The following is a 13,610-nucleotide window of genomic DNA, read 5'->3' as shown; positions in this document are numbered from 1 at the left end:
TTAGTTTAGAGTTGTCTCGCCTATAAGTGCTATATAGCCAACATGCCAACACCCAACCCCCTGGCTTTTTGCTTGGCGGACACAGGTTTTATTGATGAATTCCTTGTTTAGGAGGTTCAATTTTCAGATCACAAGGAAGCGGTGGTACCTATCAGAACATCTGTTTCTAATGTCAATGTGTTTACAAAAGGAATATCTCGTGAAAAAGATGGAAAGAAGTGAAAGTTTGCTACTTTGGGGGTTCAGTGACTTTTTCTGTTTTCATCCACTACAATCGAAAATATTTAAACTTTAAATAGTAATTTTGTATGTATGAATTTAATGTATATTAAATGTAAATAATCCTTGAACATTAAGGAGATTCTTGGTATACCAGTTTGGTATCCCAGCATCTAACATAATGCTATGGTATAAGAAAGCAACAATCACAATAATAATTCAAAGGGTTATTTTATTTTTCTTGAAAGAGGCTAATTTTTCTTCAGATGATTTTTTTTCTTTAAAGATAGATGATTCTAATGAAGCTTTTCTGAAACAGGATTGAAATAATTTTTCTTAGTGATTGCTCTTTTGATAAAGTTTGAGTCTTTTCAGAACAGATTTGATAGAAAATTATTGGAATAATCAATGTGGTGGAAGTTAAAAAGAAACTGGGTGAGATAATACAGGGAGGCTTTACTAAATATGAATGGTGGGACTATCAGAAGGTGCTGTGTCAGTTTTGATTTTGGAAAAGCTCATTGTAGCTTTTACATGCGTATCTCTACTGGGAAGTGCATAATTATATGTCTGATTATGTCACGCTATGTTGAGAGACCAATGTTATGAGCAAAGAGCTTGTTTTAATCCAGGACTTATGGGGTTGTCAGCAACGTTTTCTTCTGTGATACAGTTTTTTTTATTTCATTGTTTCTTGACTAATTGTCACAATAGGCTCCACCTGTTTTATCTGAAGTCGTCTTTCTAACTTTGTTGTACTATGTTTTTATGATAATGGGGTTTTACTTTAAGGTTCTTAGAGAACCTGTTGCTCATGTTGACTACTTTCCTCAAGTATTGTAATAGCAAAAACTCTTTTTGAAATAGACTTATGAACGTACGAGCTTCTGACGTGCTTACATGATGGGGTGTACACTATATAAAAATCTACATTTACATACAATATGTGTATAACTCTGATCAGATAATCAGCTAGCAATGATCAACAGGAGGTACTGTGGTGTTTGGCTCATGGTTTTTGGCATATGATATTACCTTTAGCGATAAGATGTTTTACCTCCTTAACATGGTAAATAAAAATGTATATTGAGAAGAACAGATTACATTTTATGTATGAAATCTTTAATTTTATTTCAAAAATATTTTATCCAAGAAGGTCAAAAGTACATAGATTCTTCACATTCCACTAGAATACTGAGAAAATTTCTCAGAAAGTATAAGCATATTATAAATAGATATAATTTGACTTATTTGATAGCTAGTACAATATTATTTTTAAAACCACATGGAGTAAAATAGTGTCCTTGAACTAGAGAGTATTCTCATAATGTTCTTTAATGTATTTCACACATACTTTGCCTATTTTGTTGCACAAGGGCTCTTAACTGGGCAAGGTGAGAAAAAGGAGGAAGTTGCATTATAGGGCAAAAATAAAGCCATAGCACAAAGCCCAGGGCAGGCAATAGTGATGTTCCAAGGTCACCGAAAAACATGATGTCAGGACACTGGGAAGTATCCATGGAAAGATCCTGTATGAAGAATAAGTTTATGCTGTTTGACGACCTCTTGCTTTCATTGTTCCAGTTGTGTGATTTAACAGATACTTTAGGACCTCTATGATAGAGCGAAACGTCCTTTACCCACCTTGAGGCAAAATTGTGTCTTAAACTCAATGAAGAGGTTGTCTTCTGGGCTTTTTCATGGTGTAATTCAAATTCTAGCTTAAGGATGTTTTATGGATCACAAAACATTGTAGCTTTCACTTTCCTGTAGGCCTTTGATAGGGAAATTGGTCAGTAAAACCTTGGCTGAAAGGTTTTTGCATCCTAACTTTTTCTGGAAATACAACAGTGAAAGTCAACGGTTATAGTGTTGCTGAAAATATTTAGGAGTGTGATGATCTAATATTTAGAGGGTTAAAATAATGCTGTTAATGTAGCTTTAAAAATAAAATAAAAATATTTGAGACAAATTCTCTGAAGCCACGATTATCCCTTTGCTATATATTGGGTTCATTTTGCAATTTATGACTCCCCTATGATACTATTAATTCATTTCTACCTCCTAGTGTTTCAGTGATGAACAGTGGTAGGAAATATGTGTTCTACTTTTGACTTTGTCATGTACTTGAGGACAAGGGTCGGAGTCTGTAAACATTAGTTTCATTTTACATAAAATAAAGATGATAATATCTGCCTTGCCTTTCTCATGGGGGACAGTGCATAGCAAATGAACTAGTGTACAAAAATGATTTGGAAAATTCAGGAGGAACTGTGACAAATATTATATATTAGTGAACTTAATCACTTTAAATTTCTAATTAGTTTCAGTTAAAGAAGTAAATTGATAGAGGTGAACCTAATGTGTGAATTCTATTTTATTAGGTTGGTGCAAAAGTAATTGTGGTTTTAGAATATCTGGTATGTTAAATTTGTGGCATTCTTGTCAATGCACTTATAATTTATTCATAAAAATTATGAAGTAAGTGGTTATGTATTTTTATTGCAAGTGTGCTGGCAACAAATTCACTCAGTTTTTGTATGTCTGAAAATATTTTTAAATAGATGTAATTTTTAAAGCTAAGTATAGCATTTTTGTTTGGCAGTTTTTTTTTTTTCAACATGTTGTTATTTTTATTTATTTATTTTTGAGACAGAGCCTCACTCTGTCACCCAGGTGGAATGCAGTGGCGCAATCACTGCTTACTGAAACCTCTGCCTCAAGTGGTTCTCGTCCCTCAGCCTCCTGACTAGCACCATGCCTGGCTAATTTTTGTATTTTTAGCATAGATGGGGTTTCACCATCTATGCTAAAACTCCTGGACTCAAGCAATCTGCCTGCCTCAGCCTCCCAAAGTGCTGAGATTACAGGCATAAGCCACTGTGCCCGGCCAACATTTGTTATTCTTTTGACTTCTCACTTCCATCAAACCTGTCAGTCATATTGTTGCTATGAGGGTAAATGTGTCTTTGTCTCTGGGTGATTTTATGATTTTTCATTTGCCATTATTTTCTTTAGTTTTCTATATATTGCTAGGTATAAGTTTTTTGGATTTATCCTCCAAGTTTGCAGAGCTTCTTGAATTTGTGGATTGTTATCTTTCATCAGGTGAAATTCATTGGTGAATTCTTGACTATTATCTTCTCATAGATAGCTCTACTTCATTGTGTCTGTTTTCCTGAGATCTGAGTTACATGTTTAATAGATGGTTTCACTGTACCCAACATGCTCCCTGTACTTGTTTTACTATTTTCTACTTTTTTTTTCTCTCTGTGCTTGTTTGAGTATTCTTTTGACCTTCTCTTCAGTTTACTAACCTTCTACACCATGCCTGTTATACTGCTCATCCACAGGTTATTACTGTAATTATTGTATTTTTTTAAATTTCCAAGTGTACATTTGATTTTTTCTATAGATTCCAATTTATCTGTTTTCTCCATCTTTTCTTCTATGACTTGGAGCATATTAATCAAACTTATTCTAAGGTTTTAGTCTGCTAATGTCAGCTGTATTGCCGTGAGCCTCTTTTCAGCATATCTTTACTCTTAATTTTAGTTATTGTATATAAAAATTATAAAGACTCAGCCAGGTGCAGTGGCTCATGCCTGTAATCCCAGCACTTTGGGAGGCCTAGGCAGGTGGATCACCTGAGGTCAGGAGTTCGAGACCAGCCTGGCCAACATGGTGAAACCCCATCTCTACTAAAAATACAAAAAATTAGCCAGGCATGGTGGCAGGTGCCTGTAATCCCAGCTACTTGGGAGGCTGAGGCAGGAGAATCACTAGAACCTGGGAGGCAGAGGTTGCAGCAAGCCAAGATCGTGCCATTGCACTCCAGCCTCGGTGACAGAGTGAGACTCTGTCTCAAAAAACAAAAAACAAACTTATAAAGGCTCCAGATGATCTATACATCCCCAAAGAAGTATCAACATTTCCTCTGCTAGACAGATACGGTGGGATGGTAGCCCATAGTTGTAATCCACCCAGTGACTGAGCTGACTCACAAGTTGTTAGACTTCTGGGCTCCCAGATGCCAAGGCGTAGCCACCGCACCCAGCCCAGATGTCTTGAACTTCTACTGGTGCATTCACAGGCCCTCAACACAAGCCAGGACAAGACTCCTGAGAATCCGCTCTTCTTTCCAGAAGCTTCCTTCTCAGTGTCTTAGCCTCCACTCATATGTGTAACTTCAGGCTTTAGCAAATCTCATGTAGGTAAAATCAAGTATGTGTCAAGCTGAGCGCTACACCTTTTACTTCTCACTGAGCTCTTGGCCCCTCATAGCTAATTTTGTCTCTCCAGTCCCTCAAGACTGCCAAAATCTCTGCTAGATTCTTTGTCTCACATCAGTGGTCCTCTGCTCAGGCAAAGCCCGTATTCTTAGTCTCTCACTGTCTTTCCAGATTGGCAATTGCCCCCACTCTTCATCCCGGGGAAAAAACATATTGTGAAAAGTCACATTACCTCCTTGGTACTTCTTCCATCTGTAATCTTGAAGCTTCTAGTCTTGACCTCTTCTGAAACTCTCCACCAGGTTTTATCAGAATACTGTCCTTATATCTGGCTTTTCTAGTTATTGTTGACCAAAACCATCAGCTGAAATGTGTCATTATTTTTAACTGATAATAAACATAGATGTACAGTGATCAAAGATCATTTCTTGATGGTAAAACTGGAGTTAGTAGTCCCATCCCACAGCCTCCTACGCAATACAGCTAACTCCAAACGTATTTTTAGAAGTGGTATAAAACGAAGGCAGGTTCTATCAAACAGCCATTAATATACTATGTGCCATTTTATATTGAGACTGTTTGTCTGTTTTTTAAATTTTGAGGTAAATCTTTGTGACAGTGAAGACCAGTAATTCAAATAGCCAATAGATTAAAGTTATTGGTAACTAAACATAATAAATTGGTAAAACTTTTGTTTCTTTTAGGACTAATACACACCCAAAAATACAGACACAGACACATGTGTGTATGTGTGTGTGTGTGTGTGTGTGTGCATAAAAAGTAAGGCTCCTTTCTGAACACAAGAACTCCATGGTTAACGAATCATTCTAACTTACAAATAAGCGCTACATTTATGGAGTGAAAAATGTGTGAAGTCTGGAGTCTCCCTCTTCTTAGAAACAACTGTCCTATTTTTCCAACTGTTGGCTCTGAAAAGCAACTGATACAGACTGATTTCTTGTGAAATACATACAATAGTGTTAACAAGCTAGTACTATGTTTATCTCTTTTCTTATTGGTATATGGATAAAACTCAGAACGTATTTCTAGACCAATTCACGGAAATATAGTTAATTCAGGTTATACCTGAAGTAGATTGTTAGAGATATATGATTTAAATTAACTGTGCTTTTATGGATTGACCTAGAATTTTTGTTAAGTCTGCCTGGTGACGGATGGATTGAACTATTACATGTAATGTTATTTTTGAGTGACTTGTATGTTGCAGGTAACATATTCCAGATAACATATTCCAGAAATCACTGACTATTTGGGACACAATGATTGGAAGTCGGAGAATGCCTGGAATAGATTCTTGTGCCTGCCTTCAATTCAGTGTCCTGAGGCACATCAGGAGATAAATGGAAGCTTGGTGAGAGTGATAAATTAGGTACTGACATTGAGGCTCATTGGGGCTGACTGTGGTGAGCAATGATCTGATTCTCATGAAGTATATCACATGCTTTTTGGACCCTGCCGGATGTCCTGTCAATCTCACATCTGTTTCTGGCTCTGGCTCGGGCAATCATTGTAGGCAGCCTTTGACTCAGTTGTGCTATTTCCCATCTCAAGCTTGCGCTGAGTATCTTTCACTTTCTTTTCTGTGACTTTACTAGCATGTCTTATCTTTCCCCCTGCTTCTGACCGTGGTCCATGCAGCCTGGAAGTGAGGAGGAGCTAACACCACCATGGAGCCTCGCAGTCAGTGGGAATGGGTGGATAGTTCCGAGACGCACTCTGCAGCTCCTCATAAGGTCCAAGTGAGAAGGAGCCTCAACCGGCCATGGAAGTGACCCAACTGCATGCACCTGTATTAGCCTTTACTCTCTCCCTGGTTCACTTTACCCGGTGCCTCACTCCTACTCTCCGGGATCACCTTGTATTATTTGCACATAATTTTTTAGTTCAGACTCTGCTTTTGAAGAGAGCCTGGCCTAAGATTTATGACTTTCCTTCTCTAGAGAAAAATGAATAAGAGAAAGAAAAGCAGGACTAAATCATAAGCTACATCCATTACAATGAGAGAAAAAAAGAAAGAAGATAAAACATGTATTTTCAGAGATACTTTCTTTACAAATCTGTCATCTTTCAGATCACCAAGTGAGACCATTTAAATAATTTTTCTAGTAACTGTGAGGTCATCTGTTGACATAATGATTAATTTGCATCTCTTCCTTCTTTTTTACTATACTTTAATATGTAGTTATTGGCAGTCTACTCTATGCTCAACACTCAGCTAGGTCCTGGTAATGTAATGATGAGTGAAAGATGTGGCATGATTCCTGCCTCTTTGGAGCTTTTTATTTCTGTGAAATTAATTAAATAATCACACAAGCCAGTGCACATACGCAAAAGTGAGTATAATGAAGGCCAGATGCACAGTAATGGGGAAGCCTATTAGAGGGGAGTTTGACTCAGCCAGGGAGGTCTGGGGAAGCCTCCTTGAGGAGGTGACATTTTACCTGACATCTGAAGGAAGGGTTAATGAGGTGGAGAAAAAAGATAAAAATTTTCTAACAGAGGGAGAAATGAAGTGTGCTCAAGGTCCTACTGTTGGGGGAAGTTTGAAAGACTCACAGTCAGAGGGAGTGTGATGTAGGCTGAAGAGAGGTACTAAACATAAGGGACTGTCACAAAATATTTGCCATAGTAAGGAATTAATTGTACATGTGTGTGTGCATGTGTATGTGCATGTAGTAGGGGAGCAGTAAAAAGGTGCTAACAAATACAGACCATCTATTTGCAAAAAAGAAATGTATGAATCTGGGAAGAATGTTGTATCGAATATGCAGCCTAGCAAATATTAAGAGTTATGAACATTTGAATCAAATAAAAGTTGTAGGAGTTATCATTTAAAGTTAGAGAACTTCTAAAGAAATAGAGTTGAAAGAAAGGAGAATGAACTATTTATTTATTTATTACTCAATGTATTTGTTCCAGCTCATGGTGATGATACCTTAAGGACTACCTACAAGGCTTTTAAGTTCCATATAACTAAGTAGTTTTTACATAGTTATAAAATTTATATATTTTTGCTAGTTATCTATTAATTTTTAGAGTGGTAGAATTATGGGTAGATATTTTCTTTTAAAAGTACAACATTTCAATTAAAATTTTACTTGATTTATTTTAATAGTGTAACACACAAAGGTCTATTAGATGTTACTGAAGCATAGCACATAGCCACATTTAATTATTCATTCTGGAATCAGCTTTTGTATTTAGGTTTTAATGAAGTTAAATTGCCTCTATACTCACATGAGTTTGGATTTTGGTTCTGCTAAATTCTCCCAAATTTGAAATTCGATCAATTAGAGACAAATTATTTTCCACTTAGAGCTATATTTCCTTTAACATTTCTTAGCAATTTTGTTTTCATGGAACCCAAAGTCAGGTCCCAGGCACCCTGTGAAATGACCCTTTAATATTTAGCATAATATATACAATAAGTTCTTGCCAGCTCTCTTTCCTTTTTAATAAGATAACTTGGTTTATTTATAGCTTATGTTTAAACTTAATCTTTTATGAAATCTTTTAACCTCATGAGTATGTCTTATTTTAGAAACCTTTACTAAATAAATGGATAAACAAGTATTTATTAAGTAACTACTACATGAAAGAAAGATTCTGTGCCATTAACAATAGCAGAGAATTAAAGAGATGGGGGAATCAATTTGACGCATTATTAAGATATTAAGTGACAAGTATAATATAGAAGGAAAAGTCTGATACTTTTTGGTTTGTTCCTTATGACATTCATGGTAGAGAAGATGAGTCTTAAGAAGTGATAATAGATGCTATTTCTATAGCTTTTGTTATGAGGATAAGCCATAGTTGTCAATTTTCAAAAATTGTTAAAAATGAGGCAGAAGGCTTTAATTTTTTGAAACATACATTACCCAGTAATGTCAAAAATAAAGGAAATGTTTATTTTACAAATAGGAAGTATTTTCAACTGTTAATAGTTGTCATAGGACTATCGTTAGCTTTTTGTCCCACTTTTTAAATTTCCCAAATACTTTTAGTAATAATAAGACTGAATTATTATCATAATAACAATTTAAATTAATAATTATTGGATTAAAAGATGAATATTAAAGCAAAACTTAAAAAAATGTTGACGTCTGTTAAATCTAATTAGTTTTCTTGTGGATTTTAAAAATACTTTTCTGAGTGTATAATTGTAATAAATTATATGTAGAGGAAAAAATGATGCGAAAATAATCCTCTGTTTCATGCTAATTTCTATTCTGTGGCAACACATCTAATGTGAACATTTATTTGAAAAATTTCCCTCAAAACAGTGTAAGAGAGAACTTATGCTGATAAATTGTTTTAAAGAAATTGTTGGTTATCAACTATTAGAACTAAATTCTTTTTATAAACAATGGAGAGAGCAGTTTCATGGTTCATATAGCCAAATTTTACTTCTGTGTGTTTTCATGGTGATAAATGAGTAATCTACATTTTTACCTCCCATTTTTTTCATGGTGGGAACAGTTCAGTAGATTATGGACTGTGAACTGACAAGCCACTCATTCTCTCTTGGGCTCCTATTCACTTAGCAGTGAGTGGGGTGTAATCACCACATGGCTACTGGGAGATGTATGCCTTTAGAGGCAGAATATTTTTATAGTGGATCTTTCTGGATGCCAGAAAATTATCATAATTTCCTTAGGAAATTTTTTTGTTATATAAAGTGGTTTTTGGGCTGGGCACGGTGACTCACGCCTGTAATCTTAGCACTTTGGGAGGCCAAAGCAGGCAGGCCACTGGAGGTCAGAAGTTCAAGACCAGCCTGGCCAACATGGTGAAACCCCATCTCTACTAAAAATACAAAAATTAGCTGGGCATGGTGGCTCACACCTGTAATCCTAGCTACTGGGGAGGCTGAGGCAGGAGAATCACTTGAACCTGGGAGGTGGAGATAGCAGTGAGCCAAGATTGTGCCATTGTATTCTAGCCTGGGTGAGAGTGAGACTCATCTCAAAAAAAAAAAAAAAAAAAAAAAGTAGTTTTTCACATTAATTTTTAATGGGAAGATTCAGTTTCTCTGCAGGAAGAATGAGAGACAAATGGTAGTTGGAGAAGCTCAAATTCCAGGCCATATTCAGCTGTGTTGAAATCTCCACTCACTAGTGAGATGGCACTGGTCAAATTGCTTAACGTTAGTGTTAGAATGTTGGTTTCCTTATCTGCAAAATGCAGATGATAGTATTTTCTCAGTAGCAAGGTTGTTTTGAGGATTAAAGGTAGTAAGAAAATTCCCTAATAAATAGTAAGGGTTCATACCATCATTAAAGCAAATATAAATATTCTTTAAATTCTCAGGCATGGTTTCATTTTTATAAGATATATGCTATACATTTTAAGATTTTAGTTATCTTGCTACTTTTTAGACATGAAGGAAATGCGAAGATTTATTTGCTTGAGAAACTAAAGAAAGGTGGCCACCACTATCACTACTACCAACTGAATAAATAAATAAATGAATTGATTAATGAATAAATAATATTTATGACTGGTATCATTTTGTAGTGAGTGTTTTATTTTTCCTTTTTCTCTTCCTATATTTTTAAAATTTTCAGTACTGAGACCCTATCACTTTAATAATGGTAATATAAAGGAAACTTTATTTCAAAAATAAGTTAATTGTATAATTATTAGTTTATGAAACATGTACAACACAAACATTCAATCTCATATCTGAGGGTGTTTTTACCATATTATAGTAGGATAATAAACACAACACAGGATAAAATAACAAATGTGGATTTTTTTCAATGGTTTATAGCTGTAAAACTGAGGTAAAATATGTTTATTATAAAAAAATTATAGAAATATTAAGACTGAAAAGTGGATGCTCCCCTTCAATTCTCTCCCAGTTAAAAAATATTGACTTCTTTCCAGAAATGTATCCAAAATATATATTTATGCTAATATATATTAGACTATGACATTTCAATAAATATGTAATATGCTGTGTGTTAACTTGTTAGAGTCTCTGTTATCTTTTTCATGTCAATACAGTCCACTTACTGTGCAGTATTACATTTCTGGAGGCGATCAGCAATTCACTTCTAGAAAGAGTTTTTGTATGTAGACCCAAAGAGACATGTATTTATGGCAGTGTCATTTGCATTGACTTAAAGATTCTAGGTAATCATTAATCACGATATTTTGATGCAATTGAATACTATACAGAAATTAAAATGAACTAAAATTCACATGTCAACATTGATCATCATTTGAGTGAAATATAATTTCATTTTTTAAATTTATTTTTCTTGAGAAAGGGCCTCCCTCTGTCACCCAGGCTGGAATGCCGTGGCGCCATCACTGGCAGCCTTGACCTCCTGGCTCAAGTGATCCTCCTGGCACAGCCTGCAGGAGGAGGCTTTAAAATATAATTTGAGTGAAAAAAGTTACAAAAGATAATTGTAATGTATAAATGATACGTTACTTTTATAAATATTATAAACAAAAAGTAATTCTCTAAATTAGTTATAGGTACTTAAATAAGAATAAAATTGTGAAAATGTTGTAGTGGGATTAAGAGAGCAGTTTCTATCTTCAACAAATCTTTAGAGATCTATCTTTCCATATTGGTTTTAGCAACTTACATGTCCGTCAGCAATGTATAACGTATTATCAAACTTTTTGGTTTTGCATGCATATGTTTAAATGTCTTATTGATTGTTTTCCCTCATTGGTGCTATTGAGCATCTTTTCATGTATATAAGACTTCACTTAAGTCTTCTCTTTTGCAGATTGTCTTAAGTTTTGTTATTTTTTCCTTATTGGTTTGAATTTTTAAAATGAATTTTTAAGAATTTTTGTATACTCTAAGTACTAACTTTTTGTCATTTACATGCATTGAAATATTTGCTTGCATTCTGTCCCTTGTTTTTAAGTTGTGTTACTATGTCTTTTTGTATAGAGATTTTGAAATTTTGTTATGCTCAGTTTTATCATTCTTTTCCTTTACAAATTTAGTATTTCTTGTTTAAGTAGTATTTTCTTACTTAGAGATTGTAAAAATATTCACTCAGTTTTCTACTAAAGCTTTAACATGTTTAGCATTATGGTCTTTGGCCCAGTTGGAATTAATTTTTGTAGTTGTTTTGGAAATAGGGATTAACCCATCCCCCCACCACAAAAGGTACAGCCAATTGTTCGAGTTTAGTTTTTCCTACTGATTTGTGAGGCTAACTCTGGCATATCTAGGTGCCATATATTTATATCTGTTCTTGGTTCTCTATTATGTTCCATTGGTTTGTCTAATCCTTTGCCAATTTAATACTTGATTCTTTAATCCTTTTAACATTATACAGCAACTTTATTAAGATGAATTCTCCTCATTCTCATTCTTTAAAATTTTCTTGGCTGTTCTCACAAACTTTGCCATATTAGAGTCTGCTTTTTATATTTATATTTATATTATTTATTTATTTTTGAGATGGAGTCTCACACTGTTGCCCAGGCTAGAGGGTGGTGGCAAGATCTCGGCTCAATGCAACCTCCGCCTCCCGGGCTCAAGAGATTCTCCTGTCTCAGCCTCCCAAGTAGCTGGGACTACAGGGGCACGCTATCACGCCCAGCTAATTTTTGTATTTTAGTAGAGATCGAGTTTCGCCGTGTTGGTGAGGCTGGTCTCCAACTCCTGACCTCAGGTGATCTGCCCGCCTGGGCTTCCCAAAGTGCTGGGATTACAGGCATGAGCCACTGTGCCCAGCCATAATTTGCTTTTTTAAATTCCATGAAATAGTCTATGTGGTAAATATTCCTTGGTTGCTTATTTAGAGCCTTTCTCCATGGAGCTGCAACTCCTGCACTTCTTTGGCTTCTAACTTCTAGTTAGGTGTGGCTAATGTGAGACACTACCAGGAGACTGGTGAGAGAGTATGGTAAGGGAATTAATTCCTCTGGTCCCTCTCTGCCTCTTAGCAGGTGTAGAAGTGAATGCATACAATGATGGCCACCGCTCCTCTATTTCAAGGTTCCAGTTCTATTTGGATTTCTATAATACTGTTTCTTCCCTTTCCCCCAGCAGGCCTGAGAGGTTGTGGTGGTTGTAGTAGGGGTGGTAGAGATAACTACTTTCTTCTTTTCACCCTCACCATATTTCTGTCTTAGTCCTTTTGGATGTGATATCTTTCTTCCAGGGCTTCTGACATACACTCTGTTGAGATTGGAAGGCATTAGGTTTATAATTCAATTTGAGACAGCTGTCATTTTTATGATAGAGCTTTCCTGTCCATATATTTGTTACATAACTCCATTTATCTAACTCTTCTTGAATGTGCTGCAATGATGGTATAATTAACGTCTTCTGTGAAGATCTTGCTTAGGTTTTTGCAATTTATTCCCAGGATTATTATGGTTTTTGTTGTAATAATGAATAATATATTTAAAAAGATACATGTTCTAAATGTTTATTGGTGATGCATGTTGATTTTTACATGTTGATTTTTCATCCAGCAACCTTACTAAACTATTTGATTTATTCTCATAGTTTGCTTTTGAGGTTCTATTGTGTAGGCTAGATAGATGTTCGTGTTGTGTGTGTATAATATTTAGAACTTACTTTTTGAAAGACATGCTTTAAATAGGGTAGTTTATTTAATCTTCAAATCAATCTTATGGTAGAGGTACTATTATAGTACATAAGTACATTATAGAACGTTAGTACATTATAGGTACATTATAGTACGTAAGTACATATATAATTACATACATTAGTATATAAGTACATATGTACATATGTATATATGTACTTTTTTTTCGAAGAAGGGTTCCCAGAGGTTCAGTGATTATAACAACTTGATAAAGGCAATACAGCATGCAGTTGGCAGTTATTACTATTTCATATTCTGTATAAGAAAATCTAACCACAGAAATATGAACCAATCTGACTAAAACCATAGAGCTAGTAAGTGGCAGGTGCAGGATTGGAACTCATGTGTTCACTTTGATGCTCTTGAAATCATGGTGTCCAATTTTCAAATTGTCTTATCGTCTTTTCAAATCTTTATGCCTATTTTCCAGTCCATAGCACGGTAGTGAGAACTCATATAAAAGTTGTAGTAAAGGGATTAATGTAGACACAGAGAAGAACCACCCAGTCCCCCTTCAAGGATTGTTGCCCAGCTAAAGGGA

At 35.2% G+C, this 13,610-nt stretch overlaps 1 protein-coding gene across 5 annotated transcripts in view; it reads left to right on the top strand.

Annotated features, from left to right (window-relative positions):
- The window catches only part of MARCHF1 (membrane associated ring-CH-type finger 1), an 859,722-nt gene that overhangs the window by 1,205 nt on the left and 844,907 nt on the right, over window positions 1-13,610 (top strand). The gene's annotated exons all lie outside the window — the stretch shown is intronic.

The sequence above is a fragment of the Homo sapiens genome, chromosome 4 (genome assembly GCF_000001405.40).
Source record: "Homo sapiens chromosome 4, GRCh38.p14 Primary Assembly".
Classification (NCBI taxonomy): domain Eukaryota; kingdom Metazoa; phylum Chordata; class Mammalia; order Primates; family Hominidae; genus Homo; species Homo sapiens.
This window is presented reverse-complemented; position numbering and strand designations above follow the sequence as displayed.